The sequence below is a fragment of the Homo sapiens genome, chromosome 8 (genome assembly GCF_000001405.40).
Source record: "Homo sapiens chromosome 8, GRCh38.p14 Primary Assembly".
Lineage (NCBI taxonomy): Eukaryota > Metazoa > Chordata > Mammalia > Primates > Hominidae > Homo > Homo sapiens.
Genome location: NC_000008.11, coordinates 92443648 through 92456708, shown reverse-complemented (window position 1 = coordinate 92456708; position 13061 = coordinate 92443648). Strand labels below are relative to the sequence as shown.

The following is a 13061-nucleotide window of genomic DNA, read 5'->3' as shown; positions in this document are numbered from 1 at the left end:
TACAGAACAAAATATTAACAATTAAGTTCAAATAAAATCTTGGCCCCTAAAATCAGTTTTTACAAACATATAAAAAAGTATGCAATGCTGAACGTTTCAAATAGCCTTGTACATAAAATTTCTTTGTTTCAGTCCATCTGCTACTGATTAAACATTTTATATTTCCATTGTGATTAATTATGCTATTTATATACTTGAAAATGATTTGTTTGGAAAGGTATGGTCTAGTGTAAGTCTTTCATTTCTGAGAATGACAGCCCTTCCAAAAGTAGAGCAACACAATGCTCTCAGGAAATCCACCATCTGCTTTCTTATGCTTTTATAACAAATTACAAACCTATAGCAAAACAGAATTGAGAGAAAACAGAGTATAAATAATGCTAATGGCATTCATTTGAGATGTTCAAAAATGTATCCACTTTTAATTAAGCCAAGATACTCTCTTGGTCCCCAAAGAAAACTGCTTTAGAGTTAAATCGCCAAATGGCCAGACATTTTCAACCTGGTCTAGGAGGCATTCTTAATTCATTCTAATCTAGGCTGAATTTATCAGGTATTAGAACAGACCAAGATGGTGGACACCAGGCCTCTGTGTCACCTTAATCCCATGAAAAGAACCGGATTAGAGTTATAATAAACATAATTGAGAAAAAGACATGCTCTGGACAGTGTGTGATAGACCATTTTTCAACATGACTGTTTGTTGGTGCCAACAGACAGGAAGGACCTAGTGCCAGCTATTTCCCATCATTTGAAACTTAACTATTGTTTCAGTTTTGCATGACCAAACAGGCATCTGAAACCACAGAATAAAACCATTTTATTCTGCCTAGCCAAACCATTTTCAGTGAAATTTCATAAATCCAAACAATCTTGCCCTCAGACTAGAATAAAAGTATGCCAAATATCAGGACGTGATTTTTTTTCTTTTAATGACTACTGTCCATCTCCAGAAAGAAGGATTCTGTAGCAAGGAATCCTCCTAAAGACCATCAGCAAAGGTAGCCAGCAGCCACAACTGACATTCTGCTTACTCTCTCTTTCTAGCAGATGCCCTCCTCATTAACACACCCAGGGCTTCTGTGGCTCCGTGTGCACTGCAAACCATTAGCTTGCTCTAGTGTCTCTGTCTTTCCTCTGCTGTTTTCTCCATCCCAACTGAAAGCTATTCTATGATTTCTGGCATCTCTATTAAGTAGTGAGTCGCATGGAAATGATTAACTTTTGAACTGCAAAACTGAAAACACTCTCTTGCAGACTGTGGAAATGAAACATGTCATGCAGCAAACGGTTTCCCGTGATGGAGTTTGCAGCAAGAAAGAGAAATCATTGGCTGAGATTTCGGTTTTGTTGTTGTCATTGTAGATCAAAAGGATGTGATCATCCTTTCTGATAGCTTTTTTTCTCCCCTTGGTAAACAGTCTCTGAGTGAGTTCATTAAATATTTAAACAGCCCTGGTATCTATTAATGTTATCAGACACATGAAATATGTCTGATGGATTTATTCTGCCGTTAAGGAGCCATACCCCAGTGTCCCTCCTGGGACAGTGCTCCAGCTGTTTAAACCATAATTCCATCACTAGGAGGCATGGTGAAAGCACTGACCTCTTTGAAACGGACTCATTGCTACTCAGCCTGTAAATTGCAAATGAAACCTTTCTGTAATAATGTTAAAATATGCATGCATAGGAATTAAGGCACTTGGGTCATCAGCAAAGCCTGGTGCGTTTTCTGTAACCTCTAAACAGCTGGTAGAAAGAATCCAATAAGTCAATTCCTTGAGAAGATTAGCAATTAGGGGGTGTATGAGTCTTTTTGGGTTCAATAGCTCTCCCATCATATATTGGGGAAATTTAATTAATTCTCTGAAGCTTTTAAGTTTTTTAAATTCCATTACTGTTTATTTGATCCTGTTTCTCAAAGGAGATAAATTATGTTGATACTGTGGTCCTTACTTATTCTCCATATAATCAATCTAATATGAGATCATGCATGAGGTCCTTCAAACTGTGTGCTAATTTGTTGTCTCATTTTTACCTGCTTCATGCTTATGAGAAAACAACCATGACAAATATGATAAAGGATGTCTCGCCAAGTCTTCCACATGAAGGAAAGAGATACTGTTGTTCACTTCTGGTAGGTTATCCGTGATATTTTAAGTGTGTTTGTTTTACATCAATTTAACTTAACATGAAAATCCTTAAATAACTTACGAGAAATACTGATAAAGTCACGTGTTGACATCTCCTGAAGTTTTCGGTTTCAAGAATATGAATTGGATGAGTTGAACTCATTATCTTAAAAAAAAAAAAACTTGTTATTCTTTCTGAAGCCATCAAACAGGTGGCAGACTTGGCACTTGAAATATAAACCAATCCTTTAGTGTCGCTCAATGTTGGATACGTACAACCATCAATGCTAATTGAATAGACAGATCAAACTAGTGAAAGACAAAAATCTGGGAAGTATAGTGAACACACTAAAGGACAGAAGGAAGATTTCAAAAGATCTGACAAGTAGGATAACGGCCGAAATCTAATACAATAACTTAATGGCAATAAGTGCATAATTTTACATTTCATTCTCTTTTTTTTTCTTTTTCTTTCTTTCTTTTTTTTTTTGAGATGGGGTTGCCTCTGTAGCTTAGGCTGGAATGCAGTGACACAATCTTGGCTCACTACAATCTTTGCCTCCTGGGCTCAGGTGATTCTCCCAATCCAGCCTCCTGAGTAATTGGGACTACATGCACACACCACCATGACCAGCTAATTTTTTTGGTAGAGATGGAGTTTCACCATGTCGCCCAGGCTGGTTTTAAACTCCTGGACTCAAGTGATTCTCCTGTCCCGGCCTCCCAACATGTTGGGATTACAGGCGTGAACCACTACACCTGACCTATATTTCATTCTTTGGGGGAAAATTCTATAGAAAAATGGGAAAATATGGCTGGGAAAAGACAAATGAGGTAAATGGCATAAGACAGTGTGTTCCAGTGAAGTTCTGGAATCAATGAATCCACTAGCCTTTGCACATTCTTCTGTCTGTGAGAGGGGTTAATGCTGAGCATGTGTGAGATGGAGGTTAGTGGCAGCACGTCTGTCCTTTGCTTCTCTGCTTTGTGCTGGAATGAAATTAACATGGATAGAGGAAGGACTCTCTAATCTAGCAAGTAGTAGAGAGAATTAAGAGAAGCCACCTGGCTACATGTACAACTTTCTCTCTTAACTATGTCAGTCTATGTGGGATAGACATACATGATACAAATCATTTTTTACCTCTAGCTACTAAGTACTTCTGTATTTTGAGACCACAGTTAAACCAAAAAGTGAAGAGTCAATAGGTAATCCAGTAAACAACCCTAATTATGTGCAAGAGATGAAATGTAACTTTACTGTGAGAAAAATTAACAGTAATTTTAGTTGGCTTTATGAGTCAATTCAATAAAGACTAGCAATAAAGGCTAATATAATCTTATTTTTCAATGGTCCACGTAGAAGCTAGTCCAAAGCTGACAATATAATGCAGTCCTATATAATGCAGTGGTCACACTACTTCTGGAATATCATTGTCCTTTAGGAAAAATAGAGCTTAACTGGGGCATCCCAGGATCAAACCAGATGGAAAGAGAGCTGAAATGATCAATGACTATCAGCACACAATTAGGCTCAGTAAGTGAATCAAACTAGGTTAGGAATAGGTACTGGAAATGTGGAAAGGGGATTAGGTCTGAACTGTATGGTACTTATTAATATAATTAGGCTAGTTGGTGGGTGTTATAAAGGAATCAATTTCACCTGAACATAAAGAAGCGCTTTCTAACAAGTAAAGCTGTCTGAAGATTAACTAAGCTGCCTTGCGATATAGCAAGTTTCTGATATTAGAGGTGCAGATTATAAAATCATTTGGTTTGGTGAAAGATTCACGCATGGGAGAAGAGGCTGGATAAGATGGCCTGTAAACCCTCAGAGTCAATGAATCTATGATCTTTCGAAGACCCCAATGAAGGATTAATATAAAAGATATTCCAGAATACATAAATGGCAAGTCTCTGAAAGAGAAATTTATACAAAGAAGTTTTCAAGACAACACTTTCAAAGTAGTAATGCCCACTTTTTCCATGGTGAAAAAATTGATATGGCAAAGGAATATTCTCACAAATTCAGCAAATCCAATTCAGTTCTCCGTTTTGAAAACAACACTTTAAGCAATGAAAATACTATTTGAATTTCACCAGAGCTTTGGAAAAAGATATATTTAGTGGTTATTAACCTAGTACTTATTCTTCCATTGCACAAAATGCCTCTTTTCCTGAAGAATCCCCTGCAGAGAATTCCCAGGCTGGGGCAGGGCAGCTGCCTTGCAATTGGCATCCAAACCACACGGCATAGCCAATAATAACTTGCAGTTAAAGTAGCTGCAAGACAAAGATGGTAGTCATTTAAAATAATTTCTGCCACTGGAATTTTTTTAATTTTCAATTACTTAAGGGTCAATTCACCTGGAATTCTGGGTTTGACCTCTTTAACTATTTTTTTTTTTTAAGAATCAAGGGTATAGAAGGTATAGGCATAAAGCAATGTAAGTACTCCTTCATGGGACATAAGCTTTAGGGAACTAAAGATAGGTTAATTCTATGCCTGATTCATTCCATGGACCATTTAACGAGAGTCTTCGGAATTGTTCAGCCAATAATGAACTCACAGGATCTAAAGGTAATCACTGCTGCAATTAAAATTTACACCAGAATTCTATTACCCTTTCTACAGATAAATGTCTTGTATTAAGTGGTCTAGAAGGAATGCATAAACTGGTTCAATAACACCAGAAATCTCTGTTATTTGTTCTTTCTTATATTCATTCTCCTCTGTCTCCCAAGCATGGGACCATGCTTCCAGTTAATTCTAGGAAAATATTTATTTTTTGTATAGTAATTTAGAACTTAAACCTGTTTTCTCATGTGTTAGCTCATTTAATTCCTATAACCCAGGTTCTTTCCATTATTGATAATACTAAAAGCTAATCTCTTAATTTCATAGCTATTTACTATTCTATTCCAAGAATTCTTCATGTATTATCTCATTTCATACAACAATCTCCATGAGATAAATATTATTATTATCCTCATTTTGCGAATGAATAAAAAAAGCTTCAAAAAGTTAAGGATGTCACTGCAGATCACAGACTAGTAAGTGATGGAACCAAGATTTGAATGAAGGGAGCTTGATCCATGCTCTTCTCCACTACACCCCAGCCCACATCACCTTGAGGTCTCCTTTGTGTCTTCACAGTGCATTCTAGTACATAGATTCTGCCACAGCTAATGGAAGGTTGTTAAAAGAAGCATGAGAGTATTTGTCTTTGTTTTGAGTAAAGATGATCCCATGGTTCTTTTAACAAGACACATAATCTGAATAAAAAATTCCCCTTTGACTCTTATAAAGCTAGCAATAGTAGTTGTGATTATTATAAAGTAAACAGTGTGAAGTATTCAGTGGGTCAATGAGTTCAGTAGTGTGTAAGATGACAAAAAAAATCAATCTCTGTCTTAGTTCAATACAGATAAAAATCCAGACATCAGCTGTGAGCAAGCACAAAATGTAATTTCAATTTTGTTATTTTAGTACTAATTCAGAAACCAAATACTTTTCAAAATGGCATAAAAAGGTGGCTATAAGCCAAGAACTTCATGTTTAACGTGATGTATGGCATTTCCTCATGTTTAAAAGTATGTGTATCACCTTGAGTACTTATGCAAACAATCTGAGCACAGGTTCCTTTTAAAAGTTAGTTGATTCCAGTCCACAGAACAGTAAGAAACATGTGAAACCATTAGAAAAATTTAATTCCCCCTTTTATGCTAATTCCGGTTTGAAAATAAAATGTGTTCTAAAGAAAAAACTGAGTTATATTCTATAGACCTTTCAAAATAATTCCTAGTAATTATAAAGAGTACTTGCTGTTCAATTTCAACCCCATTGTTCAGATGTGCAGGAAGACCCAGGAGTAGCTCAGTTTCCCTTTGTATTTGTTGTTCATTTGAAAAATAAAACGTTATCACTATAGACTCAGTAAGTGGGCGTACTCAAGATTGGGAGAAGTCAAGCACATTTTGAGTCCACCGATTGCTTCAAATTATATTATTTTTCAAACATTTTGGGTTTGAGGAAACTCAAAACACATTTTCTAAGTTCTCTTTTCCTTTTAAACCCATGTGTTTGGTAAGAGAGATTTAATCCATATGTTTCTGATTCATTTTGAGTTAACTCATCAAATTGTTGATTTTTAAGATCCATTTGATGTCCAAAAGCTTTCTGATGGTTGTGATTTTTCCCTCTGAAATAGTATTTTGTTTTTTCATGTGTAAACAAACATGGGTCTCAAAGATTCATGCTCCATGTACCAAGAACTTAAATGGGTGCTAGCTCATTCAAACCCACTTCACTCACCCAGGGGGAGTTATGACATCTATAATAGCTCAAATTGCTCAGCTTTGTTTTTCTTTATATGGCTTTCTCTTCAAACCCAACTGGAATCACATTATGGATACATTTTATAAAATCTAAAAATATATTTTTCAATTATGTCTTATTTAATATAAGCAGGAGATAAAATCCACAAAACTTTTCTTGAAACATGCTGTTGATAGGAAGGCATGTCCATACTGAAGACAAAAGGAGAGAAAAAAGAAAATTGTCACTATACTAATAAAAATCCTGTTGCTCATCTAATGGTCCCCAAAATGAGATCAAATCATAACTCGTTTGGGGAAGCTTAAACAGGTCTTTAGAATTCTTGTTATATAATTTAGAAAAAAGGAAACCAGAAGTTTTAGAGATTGGAATATGTGTAGCGGAAGTTCCCTATCTTGCTTTGCTTCATTTTTTTTTTTTTTTTGAATCCGGATGGAAGAAAATGAAGGATACATGTTGGTCTGCCCACATAATTAAAATGCTTTAGCCCAAGGCGATGTCTTCCATCATTAAATACCATTGATTTTAACATCCCTCCCTACTAAAAGAAATGCTATCAGATGAGGTCCCAATAAGTTATAATATTTCCCATGAATAAAGAGAGAGAGAGTGAAGAAAAAAAGATTTCACGGATCTTATGAAATCCTACAGTGCCCTGAAGCCCAAAGCTGTGTACACATAACACAGCATCCATTTCTCATGGTCAGGGAAGAATTTTTTTTTTTTTTTGGCCATGAAACATCACGGAAAACTAATTTTCATGCACAAATGTCTGCCTAGTGTACAAATCTGTGAAGCAAACATCCACATCTAACGCAACAAATTACTCTTAGGTTAATCAGTGGTTGTTTGCATTACAGATGTTTTTAGTGTGAACAATACATTCTCACACTGCAGCCCCTAAAGGGTTCCCAAAACATGTTGAACTCAGCCTCCAGTATGAGAAGCAGGAAAGGTATGGTGCTTTGAGTAACACTGAAAAAATAAAGATAAAGGAAATGTTTCCTCCCCTAACTTCTAGAGAAGTCATGGCTGATATGCCTGGAGAAGCTGTCCTTGCCAGCCCAGAAGTAGATGATGCTCGTTCCACTGTATGAGAAAACTCTGGAAAAGAGAATGATAATTAAAATTCTTTCTGCTCAGATGAGGAAAAACATAAGCAAGCAGACAAACAAAAGCCAATCAAGCATACCTTGAAGACACTGTGGGTACATTTTCAGACCACAACTATAAAGTGAATATCACAATAAAGTGAGTCATATAATTCTTTGGTTTCCCAGTATGTATAAAAGCCATGTAAAAGCTATGTTTACACTATATTATAGCCTATTAATGTGTAACAGCATTATGTCTTAAAACAAGCTTGTCCGACCCATGGCCCATAGGCCACATGCGGCCCAGGAAGGCTTTGAATGCAGCCCAACACAAATTCATAAACTTTCTTTAAACATTATGAAATTATTTTGTAATTTTTTTAGCTCATCAGCTAGTTAGTTTTAGTGTATTTTATGTGTGGCCCAAGACAATTCCTTTTCTTCCAACGTGGCCCAGGGAAGCCAAAAGATTGTACACCCCTGTCTTAAAATATATACATACCTTAATTTTAAAATACAAAAAAAAAATTTCTTTAAAAAATGGTAATGATCATCTAAGTCTTCAGAGAGTCATAATCTTTTTCACTGATGGAGAGTCTTACTTTGATGTTGATGGCTGCTGACTGATCAAGGTGGTGGTTGCTGAAGGCTGGGGTGGCTGTGGCAATTTCTTAAAATGAGACAACAATGAAGTTTGCTGCATCAAATGACTCTTCCTTTTACAAAAAACAAAAAAACAAAACAAAAAAAAAAAACTTCTCTTTAGCATGCATTGATATTTGATAGCACTTTACCCGCAGAACTTCTTTCTTAGTTGAAATCAGTCTTCTCAAACCTTGCCCCTGCTTTATCAACTAAGCTTATAAAATATTCTAAATTCTTTGTTGTCATTTCAACAATGTTCACAGCATCTTCATCAGGAATAGATTCCAACTCAAAAAAAAAAAAAAATAACACTTTCTTTGCCCAACTTTAAGAAGCAACTCCTCATCTGTTCAAGTGTTATCATGAGCTTGCAGCAATTCAGTCACATCTTCAGGCTCCGCTTCTAATTGTTAATTCTCTTGTCATTTCCACCACATCTGCAGTTATTTTCTGCACTGACATCTTGAGCTCCTCAAAGTCATCCATGACGGTTGGAATCAACTTCTTCCAAATGCCTGTTATTGTTAATATTTTGGCCTCCTCCCATGAATGACAATGTTAAGGCATCTGGAATGATGAATTCTTTCCGGAAGGTTTTCAATGTACTTTGCCCAGATCCATCAGAGGAATCACTATCTATGGCAGCTATAGCCTTACAAAACATATTTCCCTTTTTTTTTTTTTTTTTTTTTTTTTGAGATGGAGTCTCCCTCTGTCGCCCAGGCTAGAGTGCAGTGGCACAATGTTGGCTCACTGCCAGCTCCACCTCCCAGGTTCATGCCATTCTCCTGCCTCAATCCCCGAGTAGTTGAGACTACAGGCGCTGCCACCACGCCCAGCTAATTTTTTGTATTTTTAGTAGAGACGGGGTTTCACCATGTTAGCCAGGATGATCTCGATCTCCTGACCTCGTGATCCGCCCGCCTCAGCCTCTCAATGTGCTGGGATTACAGGCATGAGCCACCGTGCCCTGCCACAAAGCATATTTCTTAAATAATAAAATTTGAAAATTAAAGTTACTCTTTTATCCATGAATTGCAGAATGGATGCTGTGTTAATAAGCATGAAAACATTAATCTCCTTGTACATCTCCATCAGAGCTATTGGGTGACCAGGTGCATTGTCAATGAGCAGTAACATTTTGAAAGAAATCATTTTTTTCCTGAGCAGTAGGTCTCAATAGGAGGTTTCAAATATTCAGTAAACTATGATGTAAACAGATATGCTGTCTTCCAAGCCTAGTTGCTCCATTTGTAGAGCACAGGCAGAGTAAGTTTAGCATAATTATTAAGGGGCCTGGAATTTTGAGAATGGTAAATGAGCATTGACTTCAACTTCAAGTCATCAGCTGCGTTAGCCCCTAACAAGAGTGTCAACCTGTTCTTTGAGGTTTTGAAGCCAGTCATTGACTTCTTTTCTTCTGTAGCTATGAAAGTCCTAGATGTCATCTTCTAGAAGAAGGCTATTCGTGTAACTACCTCCATCTGTGATCTTAGCTAGATCTGGGTAACTCCCTCCATCAGCACTTACTGCATCACCTTGCACTTTCACGTTAAGGGGGCAACTTATTTTCTTAATCCTCAGTAACCAACCTCTGCTAGCTTCAGAATTTTCTTCTGAAGCTTCCTCACCTCTCTGAGCCTTCAAAGAATTGAAGAGAGTTAGGGCCATGTTCTGGATTATGCTTTTGCTTAAAGGAATGCTGTGGCTGGTTTGATTTTCTATCTAGATCAATAACGTTTTCTCTATTCAGGCTGTTTCACCTTCTTATCATTCATGTGTTCACTGGAGTAGCACTTTTAATTTCCTTCGACAACTTTTCCTTTGTATTCTCAACTTGGCAAGCTATTCAGTGCAAGAGGCCTACCTTTTGGCCTGTCTCAGCTTTTGACATGCCTTCCTCACATTAAGGTTACATATTTCTAGCTCCTGACTTAAAATGAGAGATACGTGACTTTTTCATTCAAATACTTAGAGGCCATCGTAGAGTTACACATTGGCCTAATTTCAATACTGTTGTGCCTCAAAGAATAGGGAGGCTAAGAAAAGGGAGAAAGGTAGGGAAACGGCTGGGCAGAGGAGCAGTCAGGATACACACAACATTCATCAGTGAAGTGTCATCTTATATGGGTGTGGTTTGTGGTGCCCCAAAACAGTAATAACATCAAAAATCACTAATCAGATATCAGCATAGCAGATATAATAATAATGAAAATTTTGAAATATTATGATAATTACCAAACTGTGACAGAGATAGGAGGTGAGCGCCGGCTATCGGAAAAACGGCATCGATAGACTTGTTCAACACAGGGTTCCTACAAAACTTCAATTTGTAAAAAATGTAATATCTGTGAAGTTCAATAAAGAGAAGTGCAATAAAACAAGGCGTGCCTGTAGTTGTTCCCCAGAGCCTTCTTTCGAATGGTCATAAGCCAATCTCCATTGGTCATTCATTTTTTTCTTATTGAGTCCTTTGTAATAGCATTATCTCAAGAGTGAACTATTTAAAAACCTTGACATTTCATTTTAACTATAAAACAGTAGCTTAATGCTGGCCATCAGTGTTCAATTCACTAACCAAAGTCCTCTTGCAGAAACAGCACAATGTTCTTGCAGAAATAATGTTGACAAAACTTGCACCATAATAGCTTTTATAAGTATATATACCGCATACACATACACACACATATAAACATACATATAAACTAGGATTTCAGTATTGAACAAGAACTATCACCTTAAGATTTTTAGACAAATTGGCACTAATTTCTTAAGAGTAAAATTTATCTAGATAGTGTATCTTTGAATCTTTTGTATATTATAATTGAAAGAATTTTAAGATTAAAGTGAAAAGGATTGCATAACTCTGAAGTGAGTATGTTTGTCACTATGATGAAAACTGAAGACAGAACAGCAGCATTACCCATATCGCAATTCAACTGATATCACCAGGAGGTAAATTCTTCCCTTTGAGGAGCAAGTGAAAGAAACCTCTAGCACAGTGGCTCTTCATCCCATTGCACATTAAAACCATCTGGGAAGCTTTTAAAAAAATTCAGTGCCCAAGTCCTACCCTAGACAAAATGTATCAGAATTTCTAGGATTGGTGCACAGGTATCAGTATTTTTAATAGGTTGGTGCAAAAATAATTGTGATTTTGCCATTATTTTATGGCAAAAATTGCAATTACTTTTGCACCAACCTAATAAAAGCTCTCCCAGTTATTTGTAATACACACCTCAGCTTAAGAGTTTTCTCTCTGAGAACTTCGTATTTCCTTGGTATATCAGCTCCAGAGAGTGAGAAGTTAGGTACTGGAGAAGAGAGAAAAGAGGGAAAGTTCCCAGAACAGCTGCAGCTACCATATGTAAATAATGATGTCCATATCCACATACACATGCTATAATAATAGATGGGAAACCAAATAAATATGACTTTAAAATTCAGCTTTCTAGTTTTTGTTTCTTCGGATATTTTGTTATATCTGAAGTAGTGGTTCACTTAGGTCTTGGTGCCCTGGCATAAATCTGTCTAACCTTGAAACTAACTCAAACTTGGATACCATTCTGTATGCCAATTTGGAGTTAGACGGAAGCTCCAATTTTTGATGTTCAAAACATCAAATGTATGAAGCAAATGCTGTTATCCTTTATTTAATCTCTACCAAAGACATCTTAAATACTTATTCTTTAATAACCAAAAAAACTGGTGTTTCACAAGTCATTTGCCACATAATTTCTTATACTCCCTAACTAAAATACTATAGTTATAGAATTTCAAAAACATATCTCCCATAAGAATTTAATAATCACACAGGAGAAAACTTTTAACTGTCACCTTACCTGTCAGTAAGAATTTTAAGTGTATTAAAAAGTGTGTAATCTTTTCCCAAACACTAGGTTCTAAAATATCTGCTGGCCAGGAGTAATGGCTCATACCTGCAATCCCAACACTTCGGGAGGCCAAGGTGGGAGGATCGCTTGAGCTCAGAAGTTTGAAACCAGGCCTGAGCAACATACAGAGACCTCATCTCTACAAAAAATTTAAAAAGTAGCCACACATGGTGGTGCACACCTACTCGGGAGGCGGAGGTGGGAGGATCACTGGAGCCTGGGAGATTGAGGCTGCAGTGAGCTGTGTTCCCGCCACTGAACTCCAGCCTGGGCAACAGAGCAAGATTTTGTCTCAAAATGAATAAATAAATAAATAAATAACAAAATAAAACATCTGCTTATCAAATCAAATGAATTTGATATATTACAAAATAAAATAATGAATCTTCAGAAATAATTAAACTAAATTGCTTCAAGAACTGTCAAAGACCTAAAATATCTTAGAGAAATACACAGGTATAAAGGCACTTACTATGTGTCAGACACTGATGTACATCTTGCATTGATTCTCAGTGTCTGAAGAGCTGGCAGAATACTTTTCTCCATTTTATTCAAGATTATCAATGACCTCTCTCCTTTGAAAATGGGTGGACTCCCATTTGCCCATATCTTACATTATGCTGAAGCATTTGTACTATTAACCACCCCGTCCTTTTGAAACTTCTCCATTGTCTTCCATGAAACCTGATGTTCTTTTTATATCTCTGGCTTTATCTCCTTCTTTGTGAGTTCTTCCTCCCCAGGCCACTCCATAAATGAAGCCATTACCCAGGTTTTCACCTATGATCCTCTTCTGTCCTCATATCTTTTAAGTTGCATGTTATCTTAGCCCCTCTTGTTATTTCTATCTTCTCTTACTTGCCAATATCTTAGACCCATTATTGCTCTCCATCCCATCTCCAACCTGCTCCTCCTTCTTCATTTCCAATCTCAGTGAACACTATCAACCCATCCACCA

General features: G+C 36.7%; 1 long non-coding RNA gene across 1 annotated transcript; it reads left to right on the top strand.

Annotated features, from left to right (window-relative positions):
• The first annotated feature begins 988 nt into the window (after positions 1 to 988).
• Positions 989 to 12208, top strand: LOC124901977 (uncharacterized). Its single transcript, XR_007061006.1, has 3 exons — positions 989 to 2137; positions 7493 to 7722; positions 12110 to 12208. It is a non-coding gene; the product is annotated as an uncharacterized LOC124901977 (long non-coding RNA).
• Positions 12209 to 13061: the final 853 nt, after the last annotated feature.